This window comes from Homo sapiens, chromosome 4 (assembly GCF_000001405.40).
Source record: "Homo sapiens chromosome 4, GRCh38.p14 Primary Assembly".
NCBI classification, from domain to species: Eukaryota; Metazoa; Chordata; class Mammalia; order Primates; family Hominidae; genus Homo; species Homo sapiens.
In genome coordinates this window covers 67,535,536-67,550,388 of record NC_000004.12, presented here as the reverse complement: position 1 = coordinate 67,550,388, position 14,853 = coordinate 67,535,536, and the positions used below count along the sequence as shown (strand labels likewise).

Sequence of the window (14,853 nt, the reverse complement as noted above, 5' to 3'; positions counted from 1 at the left end):
CTCCCAGGTTCAAGCAATTCTCCTGCCTCAGCCTCCCGAGTAGCTGGGATTACAGGCGTACACCACCACTCCTGGCTAATTTTTGTATCTTTATTTTTATTGTTTTTGAGACGGAGTCTCGCTCTGTTGCCCAGGCTGGAGTGCAGTTGCACGATCTCGGCTCACTGCAAGCTCCGCCTCCCGGGTTCATGCCATTCTCCTGCCTCAGCCCCCCGAGTAGCTGGGACTACAGGCACCCGCCACCATGCTCGGCTAATTGTTTTGTATTTTTTAGTAGAGACAGGGTTTCACCATGTTAGCTAGGACGGTCTCGATCTCCTGACCTCGTGATCCGCCTGCCTCGGCCTCCCAAAGTGCTGGGATTACAGGCGTGAGCCACTGCGCCCAGCTAATTTTTGTATTTTTAGTAGAGACGGGGTTTTGCCACGTTGGCCAGGCTGATCTTGAACTCCTGACCTCAGGTGATCCGCCAGCCTCAGTCTCCCAAAGTGCTAGGATTACAGGCGTTAGCCACCGCCTCCAGCTGATAATTTTTTTTTAAAGGTCATGAAACAATCAGAATTTTTCCCAAGCAAAGATCGGTTTGCATGGTTTCAGCTTACAGGGTCTTTTTAAGGGTCCTGTACTACTTTGCAAAGCAATGACTGCCTGAAATTTAAAAACAGTATCCTACATTACTTGCCAATTTTCACTCAGGGTAATTTAAGTCCTCTCAAGAGTAAAATTACAATGCAGAACCATTTTATTAAGCTTTTGAAAATCTTAATGTGTTTTCAATGACAAAATTTCCTTTGTGTGAGTAGAAAATAAGTTGACTAGAAGTAAACTATCCTATCTTATAGGATGCAGAATGGAGATCTACAGAATAGTGTTATTTGTTGTGATCTTAAGAGAAACAATGTGTACATAATAGAATATAACTATAACTAATAAGCAATGGTTGACACAAAGGTAATTTAGGAAATGTAAAGATCAGTTAATTTATATAGCACTTTACAATTAATGACACATTGCAGACCTTAACAACTCATAGCGTGGTAAAACTATTTTGTAAACATTGCTGCCACCTACCTGTACATTGCAAGCACATTTTATTAACTTTTCCATTATGGTCTACATAGCATAGATAGCATTTCTATTGGAGGATAATTTTTTATCAGAAAAGGATACTTAAATGAATCTCCTTAACAGAGGGACCAACATTTGGCAGTAAGGAGTAAAAGAAAAAAAATTACATTATAAAAAAAAACCAAAATCATAAAACTAAGTCTATTTTATCTTAGCAAATATTGTTATAATTGTGACTATGCTATACTTTTTAGAAGAAATTCATTTTTCATGTGTAATTTTTCTGACAAAATTATATGATAGTCATTTGCTAATATTTTCACTTTTGACTTTTGCAGAATAAATAATAAATGTTTTTGCAAAAGTTTTTAGAACTTAAGCAATTTTATTAAGTTCAAGTTTCCCCATCATTTTTCTATGAAATATTTCAAACATACAGAGAAACTGAAAGAGTATTGTTAATAAACACACCAATGAACTAGATTCAATAATTGTTAATATTTTGCCGTATGTATTTAACTATCTCAATCTCTTTATGATTAACAATTTCAAAGTACTTACAAATATCACAAGACATTTTACCTCTAAATACTTTGATATGCATATCCTAAGAGTAAGGACAAATTACATAGACATAATCACATTATAATACCTAAGAAAACTTTACAATTCTCTAATATCATCTGAAAATTAATTTTTTCATTTTCACTTATTGCTTAATGCTCTTTACAGTTACTTTGTTTTGAACTAGACTCTAATCAAAGTTTACACATTGCATTTGGTTTTCATACAGTGCCTTTGAGTCTCTCTCATTTTCTCTTTCTCTCTTTTATCATCGCTCTCACAGATTTACTGAGGTATAATTTACTGTAAAAGTCACTATTTTGGCCAGGTGTGGTGGCTCATGCCTGTAACCCAGCAATTCGGGAGGCAGAAGCCAGAGGATCACTTGAGCCCAAGAGTTCAGGACCAGCTTGGGCAACATAGGAAGATCCCATCTCTACAAAAAATTAAAAAAAAAAAAATTAGCAGGGTGTGGTGGTGCATGCCTGTGGTCCCAGATATTCACGAGGCTGAGGCAGGAGAATCATTTTAGCCCAGCAGGTAGAGGCTGCAGTGGGCCTTGATTGTGCCACTGCACTCCAGCCTGGGCAACCAAGCAAGACCTTTCTCAAAAAAAAAAAGGTCGCCTTTTTCAGGGGCACAGTTCTAACTAGGAATTTTGACAAATAGATATAGCCATGTAACTACCATCGTAATCAAGACATAGAATATTTTCAGCACCGCAAAAAGTTCCCTCTTATTCCTTTACAGTCTTTTTTCCCCCACCCTCCTCAACCCCTGGTAACCAGCGATTTGATTTCTTTTCATACAGTCATTGATGTCCAGCTTCTTTCACTTAGTACAGTGCTTTCAAGATTCATCCATATTGTATATCAGTAGTTTGCTTTTATTGCTGAAGAGTATTGCACTGCATTGAGGTACATTTGTTTATCCACTCACCAGGACAGATGCACATGTTAAGCTGTGGGGTGGGAATGAATACAGACTAATTTTTAAGTGTTAGTTCAGTTGTGAATATTTTTGTGCTAACACTTAATGGAAGACACTTTGGTAGTAAATACCCATACCATAGTTATTTGATGGAAATCAAAGATCTAAAACAAAATATTCTTTGAAATAGTTTCAAGATTTACAAATTTTAAATTATGTACCTAAAACCATAAGTAACGAAAAGTTTTTTTTACTTCTCTTTCAAGCCAAATTTCTGGATACTTTATGTTCCCATATACACATCTAATTATGTATATGTTAATACTTCCATATACTGATATGTAAATACACACATGCACACACACCCCTTAACTAGGTAAGTAGTTGTGAAAGAAAACTTCAAGATTGTCCTAGCAGTTCATAAGAAGTAATCTTTGATGTATTTTGGGGGGAGATTTATAACGACAAACTTGGGTTTTTAAATAAATATTACTCCCCCCATTAATTAGCAATCCTATTTTAGGATACTAAAACCATGGTGGGCTATTAAGTACTACAACAAGTACATATGGAAGTAAAACGTTTCTCTGGAAACTGTGGAGTCTCCACAACTGTTTTTATAAGAGTACTGCTCTATTTTCTTTAGAACAGTTAATCCTCAACGCCCTCTGTGGCCTGCTTTCTGCAGCAGCACAAGCCATTGCATTCCAAATTTCTCAAAATAAGTGTGGGACTTAGTTTCCAGTGGAAGCAGGAGGATATAATTTTACATGTGGGACTTTACATCTATAATCGTGCTTGCTAAAATTTCTTACCCAGAGGCAAAGAGTGTAGTGATTAAGAGCTCAGTTGTGGAGTGAGAATTCTTGGGATAATAACCCATCCTACCATTTAGTGGTGATGTGATCTTGGGTAAGACACTTAGCTCTCTGTGTTTCAGTGCCCTTGTTTATAAAACAGGAATATTAATTGTTCTCTTCAATGCATGCAAAGCATTTCAGAACTGGGCATAGAGTATGCAGTCAATAAATGTTAGTGTTTATCATTATCTATTCCAAATGTGACAGCACCAAATTATAAGTTGGACTGATTGGCAAAACTGCCAAACATAGTAAAAAACTCTCCATAATGATTCCAATAGCTTTATTATTGAATTCTTACTATGTTCCAAACATTGTGCTTAGATCTTAACAGGAATTATTCAATTACAACATCTCAACCACTTTAATAGTATTCTCATTTTGCAGACAAGAGAATTAAGGAACAGATAACTTAGTTGCCCATAATGGCAGAATTAATGGAATGGAGTGCAATCCAGGCCTAATTTCAGTCAGAGATCATAGTTCCTTTTTTTCTATCAAAAAAATAAATAAAATAAAAAAATTGGCCTTCATAGTTGACAGCATTTGTTAAAGCACTACATGTTTTAAAAATCTATTAGCTCAACTCCTGATTAATGTATTTATTCAATTAGTAAACTATTTTCTGATTAGAATTTTCTTGTAATTTTAAATTAAATAATAAAATAAGATACAGCTTCATAGAATCATACACTGGTCAGGTGAGAAGTCTTCAGAGCGTCTAATTTAGACTTCCATTCTATCACTATGGAAACACCCAGAATGGTGCCGCAATTTTGCCCTCCATAACATAGCTAGTCAATGGCTGGCAGGTTTCAGGATTCTGTATAGAATTCTTTTCAGTGCATCATACTTAAATGATAGATATTTACGTGGGTCATTTGTTGGCAATGCATCATAAAAATATCGCCCACATACTTGAAAAAGAATACAAGCCATCATCACCATTATTATACATAATTATTCAATTATTTTCAGAGATGATGGTTAGATGGGCTGGGCGTGGCTGACGAATCTGCATTAGAAAAATCTCTTCAAAAAAAGATTCTATTAAAAAAAAAGTCGTCTGCAATTTCTACCTCTCATCCTTCCAAGTATTACTTATTATTCCTTAATAGAACTGTTGAGAAGTTTTACATTGGGCACAAGGAGCGGTTCCCAGGATCGTGCCTTCCTAATAAAAGCCCAGTCTCGCGCCTGTCCCGGGCGCGGCGCTGAGGAAGGGAGGTGGGAAGAGCAGAGCGGCTAGAGGTAGGGCGGGCGGGTGGGTCTGCAGGCTGGAGGGCCGTTGGCCTGGAGCATGAAGGGGCGAGCCCACTAACGGCTTGCTTCCTATTGGACGGCGCGGCCCGTTTTGCGCATGTGTCTCCGGGTTCAAACCCAGGCACAGGCCAAGCGTTCTTGTTTGTTGAGGGCGGAGCCAATGGCGGGGGAGTGTTGTTAGCGCGCGCCTTCCGGATCGCAGCTCTCGCGGCAGTCGCCTGAGACTTAAGGTTATTGCTTGGCCGCGGCCTGGTATTCCGGCGATTCGTTTCTTGCTCGGCTTCCTGGAGCTGTGGTCCGTGTGGGCTTCCACCTCAGACAGTTGCGCTGGCTCAGCGGGGCCGGAACATGGCTGCGTCCGGTCTGGTAAGTGCAGGCCCCCCGCTCCAGGCGAGTGGTTGAGCGGCTGGCTGGGGCACGGGCGCCCGAGGCTGGGGAGAAGGAAATGCTAGGCTGAGGCTGTGATCTCTGAGGGATTTCAGTGGGAAAGCCGCAGGAATTTTTGAAATCAAGTGTGATCGTGTGTCGATAACCAGAGTTAATTTACTGTACTTTTATTATTTCTTAAGTTTTCATGTCGTCATTTCGTCTGTGCCTACGTCTTACTCTTGAGAGGTGCTTGTGATTTCTGCTGGGTTTTTTTTTGTTTTTGTTTTTGAGACGGGGTCTTGCTCTGTCCCCCAGGCTGGAGTGCAGTGGCGCGATCTTGGCTTCTGCTTTTTAGTCTAGCTCCAGTTCCTAGGCCTCCAAATAACTTTTCTCCCCATGGTAGAAGTATTGAAACGCCTTAAAAGTGTGTCTTTGCGTCACACTTGGTAGTTGGGAGAAACAGATTATGTAACAAGTACGTCTCGAAATAATTTGACGTTTTCAGTTCTTCTGTCAAAATGGTGGCCTTTTATGCAGTTCTTGAGGCTGATTTATGGAGCATATGTTATTGACAAACTCTTCTGAAAGACAGCTATCAGTTAAAAGGTACAAGCTGTGAATGACTAATGGGGGCGACAACTCATTTTGTTTACATATTTCTGGACTTCTTTGGTGTTCACTATTCTATATTTCATACTTTGGTTATGGTTACTATATAAAAATCCGTATCATTTCTTTTCTAATTTATCTCCCCTTCTAAGAAAATCTTCAGCTTCGATGATCTCCCATTATGTGACGTTATACATATAAACATAAAGAGTTGTATGAAAGAATAATATAATCTATACTTTTTACTATGAGCACATATATTGTTTACATTATATATAATCAGAAGAAAGCAATAAAGCCATTCTCACTGTGGGGAGAGAAGCGGAATAAAGCTTACCAGATGCCTGCAGTTCAGTTTTTAAATGCCTGTCATAACCTATGTTATGTCATAACATAACCTCAAAATTGTTTTGAGCCCTTAGGAGATGTTTGGTGTATAGCATGCCCATACTGGATGAAGTTACTTTGAAAATAAATTTTACTCGACTCTATCTTAAAGAAACCAAATTGATGATTTACTTTTCTTTCAGGATCATCTCAAAAATGGCTACAGAAGAAGATTTTGTCGACCTTCCAGGTGATTTACGTACTTAAGCTTTTAAGATTATTTTTATTCTCATCGTTAATAGATTTTTAAATGAAGAAAGGAAAAACTATCACCTCTGACTAATATAATGATTTCTGTGCCCACTGATTAAGGGTAGTCATCTTATACTAACGGGAATGTTAATGCAAGCAGTGCAATGACTTTGTGGCTGTGAAAAAAGAAATTCACCTGATAAAATAGTGGAACCAGGAAGAGGGAGTCTCAGTTCTGACTAAGTGACTGCCATGGGAAAAGCATTTTGTAGAATGAATCAAATGGTAAAATTAGAAAGATGTAGCTTATTCAGTGGGGCAAAAAGAAAAATAGTACATGCTGTCGTGCATTTGTTGAGTGCTTGTTTGGGTTGTTTTGGTTCTTCTTTTAGTTGTAAAACCTGTAAAAAGTAAATTTTCTAGTTAAATATTTACTAGTAATAGGATGAAAAGCATGTTTTTAAAAGTGAAGATGTTATTATGAATAACGTCATGTTTATTGAGCTGTGATTTTAGTAGGTCCAATGGGGCACAGAAGTATGTTCTTTTGTTTACAAGAAGCTTAGATTTCTGTTGGGAAAATGTATATGTACATTTGTGAAACAATTTAATGGACAAAAATTATTACTTGCAATACTGAAGTAATGACTTGTGTATCATAGAGAGTAGGCCTATATATAATTAGGCATTAACTTGCAGTATAGACAGCCATGTGAGAAATTAGGGATTTGTGTGTTGTTGATATTAAGAAAAGCTTTAAAGTTGTAGTGTAACTTTGGTGGACCTTGAACAGGTATTTAAAGACTAAGATAAAGTATATTCCAGACATAGAAAGTAACTTAACGAAGGAACCAAAGTAGGAATACATATATTTGTCAGTAGCAGAGAGACCTGATTTAAGAAGGTTGAATATGTTGGGTAGAAGTGGAAAACAAGACCATATGAGTTGGATTGAGCCATAAAATGGATATGTTAGGCTTTAGGCATCTATTATAGGCTTGAATAAGCTCTCCTAAATCTTCTGTGGAATAAGGGCTATCTGATATAAACACACACACACATTTAAAAAAGCAAAGATGTTTGATGTTTACAAAGTAGCTTAAGGAGGGTGTTGTAGTAATCTACACATGGTGGAGGTGCTTTTATGCTAAGGTAATAATGACAAAGGGGAAGAAAAGACGAATTTGATAAATTTTGAAAAAGCTGTTGCCTAATGTGACCTGCGTTCTAATAGTGACTCTGCATTATCACCTTGGCAAATCTGATCTTTTTGGATCTCATCCTTGAAACAGGTAATAGCAGGAGTGTATTTATAGCTGTGCAATATGTGCACCTGTAGGTGGTATTTTGGGGTGATGTCAAGGCCAGAATTTATAATAGTCACCTATATATATTCTGGTAGAAAACCGGCCACTAATACTACTTAGGTTTACAAACTGAGGTAGGCCATTTGACCATTTTGGGTTTCAGTTTGCCTATCTGCAAAATGAGGGCATAGGATTCAGCTAGGGGTTTTTAACTAGATTTGCACATCAGAATTACCTCCATCACCCTAGGAAATCTAATTAAATTGGTTTGTGGGAAGTGACCAATTAAGTGTATTTCTGCAAAGCTCCAAAAGTAACTTTACACATCTATTTGGATGATGATTATTGGACTGGATGATTTCTGAGATCTTTCAGTTATAAAACTTTATGATGGATGACCTGATAATGCACTGTGGCTCACAGTTTTTAATTACTGCATATATAGTACTTTTCCAGCTCTCAATAATAGGAATGTTGTAGATCAGGGATCAGTAAACTCTGGCTGATAGGCCAGCCAAATGTTTTGTCACAGGTTTTATTTCAATTTTATTGGAACACAGCCATGCCTCTTTGTTTACATACTGTCTGTGGTTGCTTTTGGGCTAGAATGGGAGAGTCGACTGGTTGTGACAGAGACTATGGTTTACAAGCCTAAAATATTTACCATCTGGCCCTTTAAGCAAAAGTTTGTCCACTCTGTTAGAGATGCATGTCAATTTTATACTGATTGAAATCCAGATGTTCTTCAACAGGTAAATGGTTAAACACTGTGGTACACACATAGCATGGAACATTACTTGACTCTAAAAAGCAATGAAATATTGGTACATTCAACTTGGATTTATTTCCATAGAATTGTGTTGAGTGAAAAAAGCCAAGGCAAGAGGATACATGTTGTATGATTCTATTTACATATAATTGTTTCCACATGACAGAGTTTTAGAAATGGAGGACAGATTAGTGGTTGCCAGAGGTTAGGAATGAGAGGAGGCAGGAAGGAGATGAGAGAAAGGTGGTTATGATTACAAAAGGACAATAGAGGATCTTTGTGATGATGGAACTATTCAGTATCTTGACTCTGGTTGTTTTATCTGCACCTACAGATGTGATACATTTTGTATATATACACACAAACATGAGTATGTTCAGAAATGAGTACATGTAGAACTGGAGAAATCACAATAGCATTGGTAGATTGTATCAATATCAGTATCCTGATTGTGATAATATGCTATAGTTTTGCAAAATATTAGCACTGAGGAGAACTAGGTAAAGTGAACAAGGGGTCTGTATTATGTTGTATAGCTGGCTGTGAATCTACAAGCTCAATATAATTTTTAATTAAAATTTATACTGATTCATAAACTGTTAAGATTAATCAATGATACTGAATTAGAAATGCATTTGAGAATTTATAGGGAGGAATATGTTACTTGGAGATGTGACTGTAAAGTCTGTTAAAGAAGCATTTCAGGACTGATTGGATTCATTCAAAAAAATTTGTGTTTTTGAGATACAGCAGTAATCTAAAACAGCTTTAGACATGGCTGTTCAACTAAGAAATATTAATTGTTAAGGTAGATTATGATATACTAATTCTTATTAGGAAGGAAAGAGTTCACTTGAGGGAATGTATAGACCCTCAAGTACTTGTTTTGTCTTCAAATAGTAAAGATATTTTACATATTAAGTAAATTTATATTTTATAATGAGATGTGGAATTTTCAAAGAGATGGTAATATAAAGAAATATCTTCTGAAAATGACAGGCTGTATTTTTCCTTTATTAGGGCACGTGACATTAACACAGAGCAAGGCCAGAATGTTCTGGAAATCTTACAAGACTGTTTTGAAGAAAAAAGTAAGGCTTCATTTCAAGATGGAATTTAAGGGTTAGATGGATGAAAATATGAATTTGTCATGGTAATTAATATCAAATGCAGCAAATATGTTCTAGGGTTTAAATATATGGAAAATATTTTCCCTGGTATTTTGAGTTCATATGCAATCCTTTGTGTACCTTCTGGTATACTTAGGATAATACTGACAAAAAATAATAATTTGACAATAATTTGTCATCCCGTTTAGTTCACATTAAATTACTGTAATCTGGAAGTCCATACATAATTATCATACACAAGAAAAAGTATTTTATTATTTATTTATTTATTGAGACATAGTCCTGCGGTGTCACCCAAGCTGTAGTACAGTGGTGCTATCTCAACTCACTGCAACCTTTGCCTCCCAGGTTCAAGTGATTCTTGTGCCTCAGCCTTCCAAGTAGCTGGGATTACAGGTGTGTGCCACCACGCCTGGCTAATTTTTGTATTTTTTAGTAGAGACCAGGTTTCACCATGTTGGCTAGTCTGGTCTCGAACTCCTGCCCTCCAGTGATCTGCCCTCTTCAGCCTCCCAAAGTGTTGGGATTACAGGCATAAGCCACTGCATCTAGCCAGAAAAAATATATAATGAAAATAGATGTGTAGAATTCTTGGAATCGCTGGAGAATTTGAGATAATCTTTGGTGATTTACATATCTGTTTAAGGAAGTCATAAATTACAGCAAAAACTTTTCCAAGTGCTGATTAGCATCAGCAGGTATTGGAATAAGAGAATAAGCCAGCCAAAGAAATAGGGGCAGATGATAGAAAAGAATGTTTTCTATACAAGCTCTGAAAGAAGAGCTGGCATATATTGATACTTCAGGTGTTTTGTTTGCTTTTCTCATTTCCTGATGCTTCTCAGGAACATTTGAATATTAAATTGAGGTCTCTACTTGATTTAAGCTAATTGTGGTCAGTGAGTCAACAGATGGTTCTTCACATGTCATATACAGCTACTTTTAATTGTGACTAATAGATATTACACTATATCTTGTTTTTGAAAATTTCATACTTTTGTTTTAGGTCTTGCCAATGATTTTAGTACAAATTCTACAAAATCAGTGCCTAATTCAACACGCAAAATAAAAGACACTTGTATTCAGTCACCAAGCAAAGAGGTAAGTGATAAAGAAGAGCTGGTATAGGTTTAATATTTTAATGAATGAAGGTATACACAATATACTCATGTATATTTTAGTTGTTTGTAAGTCTTATTCTTGAAAGGGAATTCTATATTCCCATTGACTTTCTATAAAATTTGGAGGTATTTTGTGAAAAGTTTTATTTGATATTTTCTGTTGGAATTGGGATTATGGGAATTAGAATTATCAAATTATAATAAACATTTTTCACTTCTCCTAAAATAATACTCAAATTAGGTTTTTAGGAAAATGGGCAGTGATCAAAGTTGCTAATCAGGTTGGCAGGGTTGGTTATATTCTAATAAATGAAGGCACTTCATTGTTATACGGGGAAATCAATCTTCTGTTGATTATATATTTTAATTGCTGTTAGTTTGATCAGAAATAAAGTATTGGTTGACTTAACTATACTAAGTAGCAGACTTTCAAATAAAGTATTTGAAGCTAATCTAAGGCAAATTATTCAAAAGCACAATACTAATTAGAAAAATCATATAGTGCTAGAAGTAACACTTACTAGAAAACTGTAAAAGGCAATCAACATATTAAACATATGTAGCCTTTTGGTTCCAAGCAATGCAGACAAAACCATTTCTTTCAGAATTGAGAGGCCTTCTGAAACTTGATAAATTACAATGGTTTTTGAAAGTTAAAGCAACTTTAGGTTTTCTGGGATAAACTTGACTTGGTCATAAAGTATTAACTTTTTTTGATTAGGTTTGCCTAATATTGAAGATGTTTGCATCTATGTTTATGAATAATATTGTCTTTTTTTGAAAAATGTTCTTACAGGGCTTTGGTATCAAGGTTATGCTAGAGGTTCCTCTTCTAGGTAGAATGCAGTAAGTCACAGAAGGCTAACACTCCTGCTAAAGCAGCTATTTTAAAAAATGGAAACAAATTTTAGATATATGAGAAGCTGTGGAAACAATAAAGACTAGCAAAATATAGTCTGTGGCTAATTTTCTTCCCTTCTGAGGCAAAATTCTTCTCTACTGTGTCCCGTTACTTATGGAGGTTTTCCACTCTGGCTGGTAGATTATTCTAGGTCCTTTGTAACTGGGAGGATATTCCCCCTCAAGGCTTCGGGTGGTTCTTTCTCTGGTTTTCTTACAACGCATTCTCTGATCAATATTTGATTGAATGCTTGAGAGAGATCTGCACATTCTGCAGTTTTCTCTATGTAACCGTCTCCTGTCCAGTACTTTATCCTGCAAATTCTAACCACTTTGGTCTTCCTGAATCCTCAGCTTTGGCTCCTCAACTGAGGATTTCCCCTGTGTGTCACATCTGGAAATGGGTGATCAGAGGGTTCACCTCATTTGTTTCCCATCTCAAGAATCATTCTCTTTGGTTTTTCAATGTCGTATTTCTTGAGAATCTTGTATGTTTTTTCTTTTTTTAAAATTGATTCAGGCAGGAGGGTAAATCTGGTCCCTTTTAAGACATTGTGCTCTAAAGCCAAGGTCCACTGCAATGACTTCTAAATGACTTTAGGCCAAAGAAGAAAGCATGTTGGGAATATAAAATATTCTGAATGAAGATAATAATATGACTTATCAGAACTTGTGAGATTTAGCTAAAATAGTGTTAGAGGGAATTCATAACTTTAAATGTATAATAAATAAGAAATGTTCAAAATAAAGGTTCTACTCTGTGTTTGTACTGGTCTTGTAAAATGAGTTGTTCAGTATTTTCTCTGTCTCTTTTCTCCTGAAGTGTTTTTATGAACCACTATTGTTTCTTTCTCAAATATTTGATGGAATTCATAGGAGTTTTCTCTTTGCGAGAATTTTAAAATACTAATTTATTTATTTATTTATTTATTTTCTGAGACAGGGTTTCACTCTTTAGCCCAGGATGGAGTGCCATGACATGATCACAGCTCTCTGAAGCCTTGAACTTTTCCTGGGCTCAAACCCTTCCGTCTCAGCCTGCTGACTACCTAGGACTATAGGTGCATATCACCATGCTGGCCTGCTTATTTATTTATTTATTATTTCTCTATCTATCTATCTGTCTTGAGACAAAGTCTTGCTCTGTCACCCATGCTGGAGTGTAGTGGTGCTATCTTGGCTCACTGCAACCTCTGCCTCCGGGGTACAAATGATTCTCCTGCCTCAGTCCCCCAAGTAGCTGGGGTTACAGGCGCCCATCTCCACACCTGGCTAATATTTGTATTTTTAGTAGAGATGGGGTTTAACCATGTTGGCCAGGCTGGTCTTAAACTCCTGACCTCAAGTGATACTCCTGCATTGGCCTCCCACAGTGCTGGGATTACAGGTGTGAGCCACCGCACCCGGCCATTTTAAAATTTTTCTTTACAGAGGCAGGGTCTCACTGTGTTGCCTAGGCTTGTCTCAAACTTCTGGGCTCAAGCAATCCTCCTGCCTCAGCTTCCCAAAGCATTGGGATTACAGGCATGAGCACTGTGCCTGGCCTCACTTTTGTTTTCTTATGAAACATAATACATTAAAATACACAAATTGCGTGTATATTTCATTGAATTTTTACAACTACTACCTAGATGATGATATAGAACATTAAAGATTTAGATTTTACTTAATAGTTTCAGTAGACAATTTAGATTTTCTATTTTTTTTAAATGTTCTACTTTTCTTTTTTTAGGGATTTGTTCATTTTATTTAAATTTTCCAGTTTATTTGGATAATGTTGTTTTGTCATGTCTTTTTCCAGTCTTGTTAATGTCTGTAGGATCTACAGTTATATCCCCTTTTTTATTCCTGACATTGGTTATTTATGCCTTATCTTTTTTTTTTTTTTTTTTAATTAGAGGTAGGGATCTTGGTATGTTGCCCAAGCTGGATTAGAACTCCTGGGCTTAAGTGATCCTCCCTAAGCTAAGGAATAGCTGGGATTACTGCTCGTAAGTCACATGCCACTGTGCCTGCTATGCCTTGTCTTTTTCATCGATTAATTTTGTCAGGGTTTATCAATTTTGGTCTTTCAGAAAACCAAGTTTGGCTTTGTCGGTCCTCTCATTTGCTTGTTTTTAGTTTCATTATTTTTTTCTTAATTTTATTTTTCATATATTCTTTATTTTTATTTTTATATTATTAATTTTTTCTAATCCTTGAGATGGATGCTTCAAAACAACAGAGACTTTGTAGGTGTTAGGGTTTTTTTTTCAGGTAGGGCCTTTCCATGCAGCAAGCTTGGCCTAGGCCTTCCACATAAGGAATGAAATTTGTTTACTTGATTTGAAAATAAAATCAGACTTAAGACTTATCTATCTTATAGGCTTTTCTGTTTGCGAACTTGAGATTCCTAGGTCTAGTTATTACTTCATATTTGTTTGTCTTTAAGTAAAATAAGATATGACTCCGTAGGTTTTAACTGAAACACAACCGAGCTTCATGAAATAAATTAGTTTTTCTCTTCTGTTTTCTGGGATAACTTGATTAAGCAAAAATGATCTGTTTCTTCAAATTTGGATCATTTGTAAAACATATGGTTGGAGCTGTTTTGGTGGGGATGTGTGTGATTACCACTTTATTCAATGATCTATTGCATTTTTTATATTTCTTTTGCCAGTTTTGACATTTTATAATTTTCTTGAAACATTTCCTCTGTTCTCAATTTGTGTATAGTCAACTTCATGATCTTCCTCATAGTTATTACTCTCTTTTTATTGCTGGTTTTCACCTTTTTAAATTATCTGTGTTGTTACAGGTATTTTTCTGTCATTAACATTTTCAAAGAATCAGCAGTCTATTCTGGTTCACTATTTTATTCTCTTCCCTATCTTTTTACATACTTTTCTTCTTAATTTGTTGGAAGATTGATTTTTAAAGCTCAAAGGCATTATGTACATGGAAGTTAAAGTAGTTCCATAAATTCCACAAAAAAATAGTAGACCCCACTTTTCCTCCTCCAAGTCCAACTTTTTAGTCTTAGCTATTACTCTAGGTATTTTGACTCCATATTTCTAAATAATGTTTATATTGCTGTTTCTTGATTTTTTTTCCCAGTCTTTGCTATTATTTATTGGCTTTCTACTATGGAAGTTTAGACTTTATTTGTCATATAGTTTCTACTTCCGACCACAACACATAAACTTCCATTCTTTAGTACATCATAATTTTTAGTAGGATTAGTAGTTAGTGTTTATGGTATTATTATGACTGTTTCAGTAGTCACAGCTATGTAGAGTACTAATGGTTAAATTTTCTTTATGTACAGTTCTTAATTTTCTCTTGATTTAATTTTGGTTTTTCCATTTTTGACTTTCTGTGCACCTGTGACTAATTCATCACCAG

The 14,853-nt window shown here is 36.1% G+C and overlaps 1 protein-coding gene across 5 annotated transcripts in view, besides 4 other annotated features; it reads left to right on the top strand.

The window, feature by feature from the left end:
* Positions 4,564 to 5,114: an enhancer, noted in NCBI's record as "H3K27ac hESC enhancer chr4:68410993-68411543 (GRCh37/hg19 assembly coordinates)". NCBI's record gives its function as "activates a minimal SCP1, AML or CMV promoter by ChIP-STARR-seq in naive H9 embryonic stem cells {active_cell/tissue: H9 hESC(naive)}" and the evidence as "EXISTENCE:reporter gene assay evidence [ECO:0000049][PMID:30033119]".
* Positions 4,564 to 5,131: a biological region, named in NCBI's record as "H3K27ac hESC enhancer GRCh37_chr4:68410993-68411543".
* Positions 4,602 to 4,741: a silencer, noted in NCBI's record as "silent region_15461". NCBI's record gives its function as "represses an Ori minimal core promoter by ATAC-STARR-seq in GM12878 lymphoblastoid cells {active_cell/tissue: GM12878}" and the evidence as "EXISTENCE:reporter gene assay evidence [ECO:0000049][PMID:35858748]".
* The window catches only part of CENPC (centromere protein C), a 76,742-nt gene continuing 66,774 nt past the window's right edge, over positions 4,886 to 14,853 (top strand). For all 5 annotated transcript variants that reach the window (NR_155754.2, NM_001362481.2, XM_047449526.1 and 2 more), the window contains exons 1-4: positions 4,886 to 5,051; positions 6,194 to 6,240; positions 9,339 to 9,409; positions 10,455 to 10,549. Coding sequence is in view for 4 of the 5 variants with exons in the window: in NM_001362481.2 (NP_001349410.1) it covers positions 5,034 to 5,051; positions 6,194 to 6,240; positions 9,339 to 9,409; positions 10,455 to 10,549 (231 nt within the window). In the remaining variant the exon portion in view is untranslated. The remainder of the gene's footprint in view (positions 5,052 to 6,193; positions 6,241 to 9,338; positions 9,410 to 10,454; positions 10,550 to 14,853) is intronic.
* Positions 4,892 to 5,131: an enhancer, noted in NCBI's record as "active region_21594". NCBI's record gives its function as "activates an Ori minimal core promoter by ATAC-STARR-seq in GM12878 lymphoblastoid cells {active_cell/tissue: GM12878}" and the evidence as "EXISTENCE:reporter gene assay evidence [ECO:0000049][PMID:35858748]".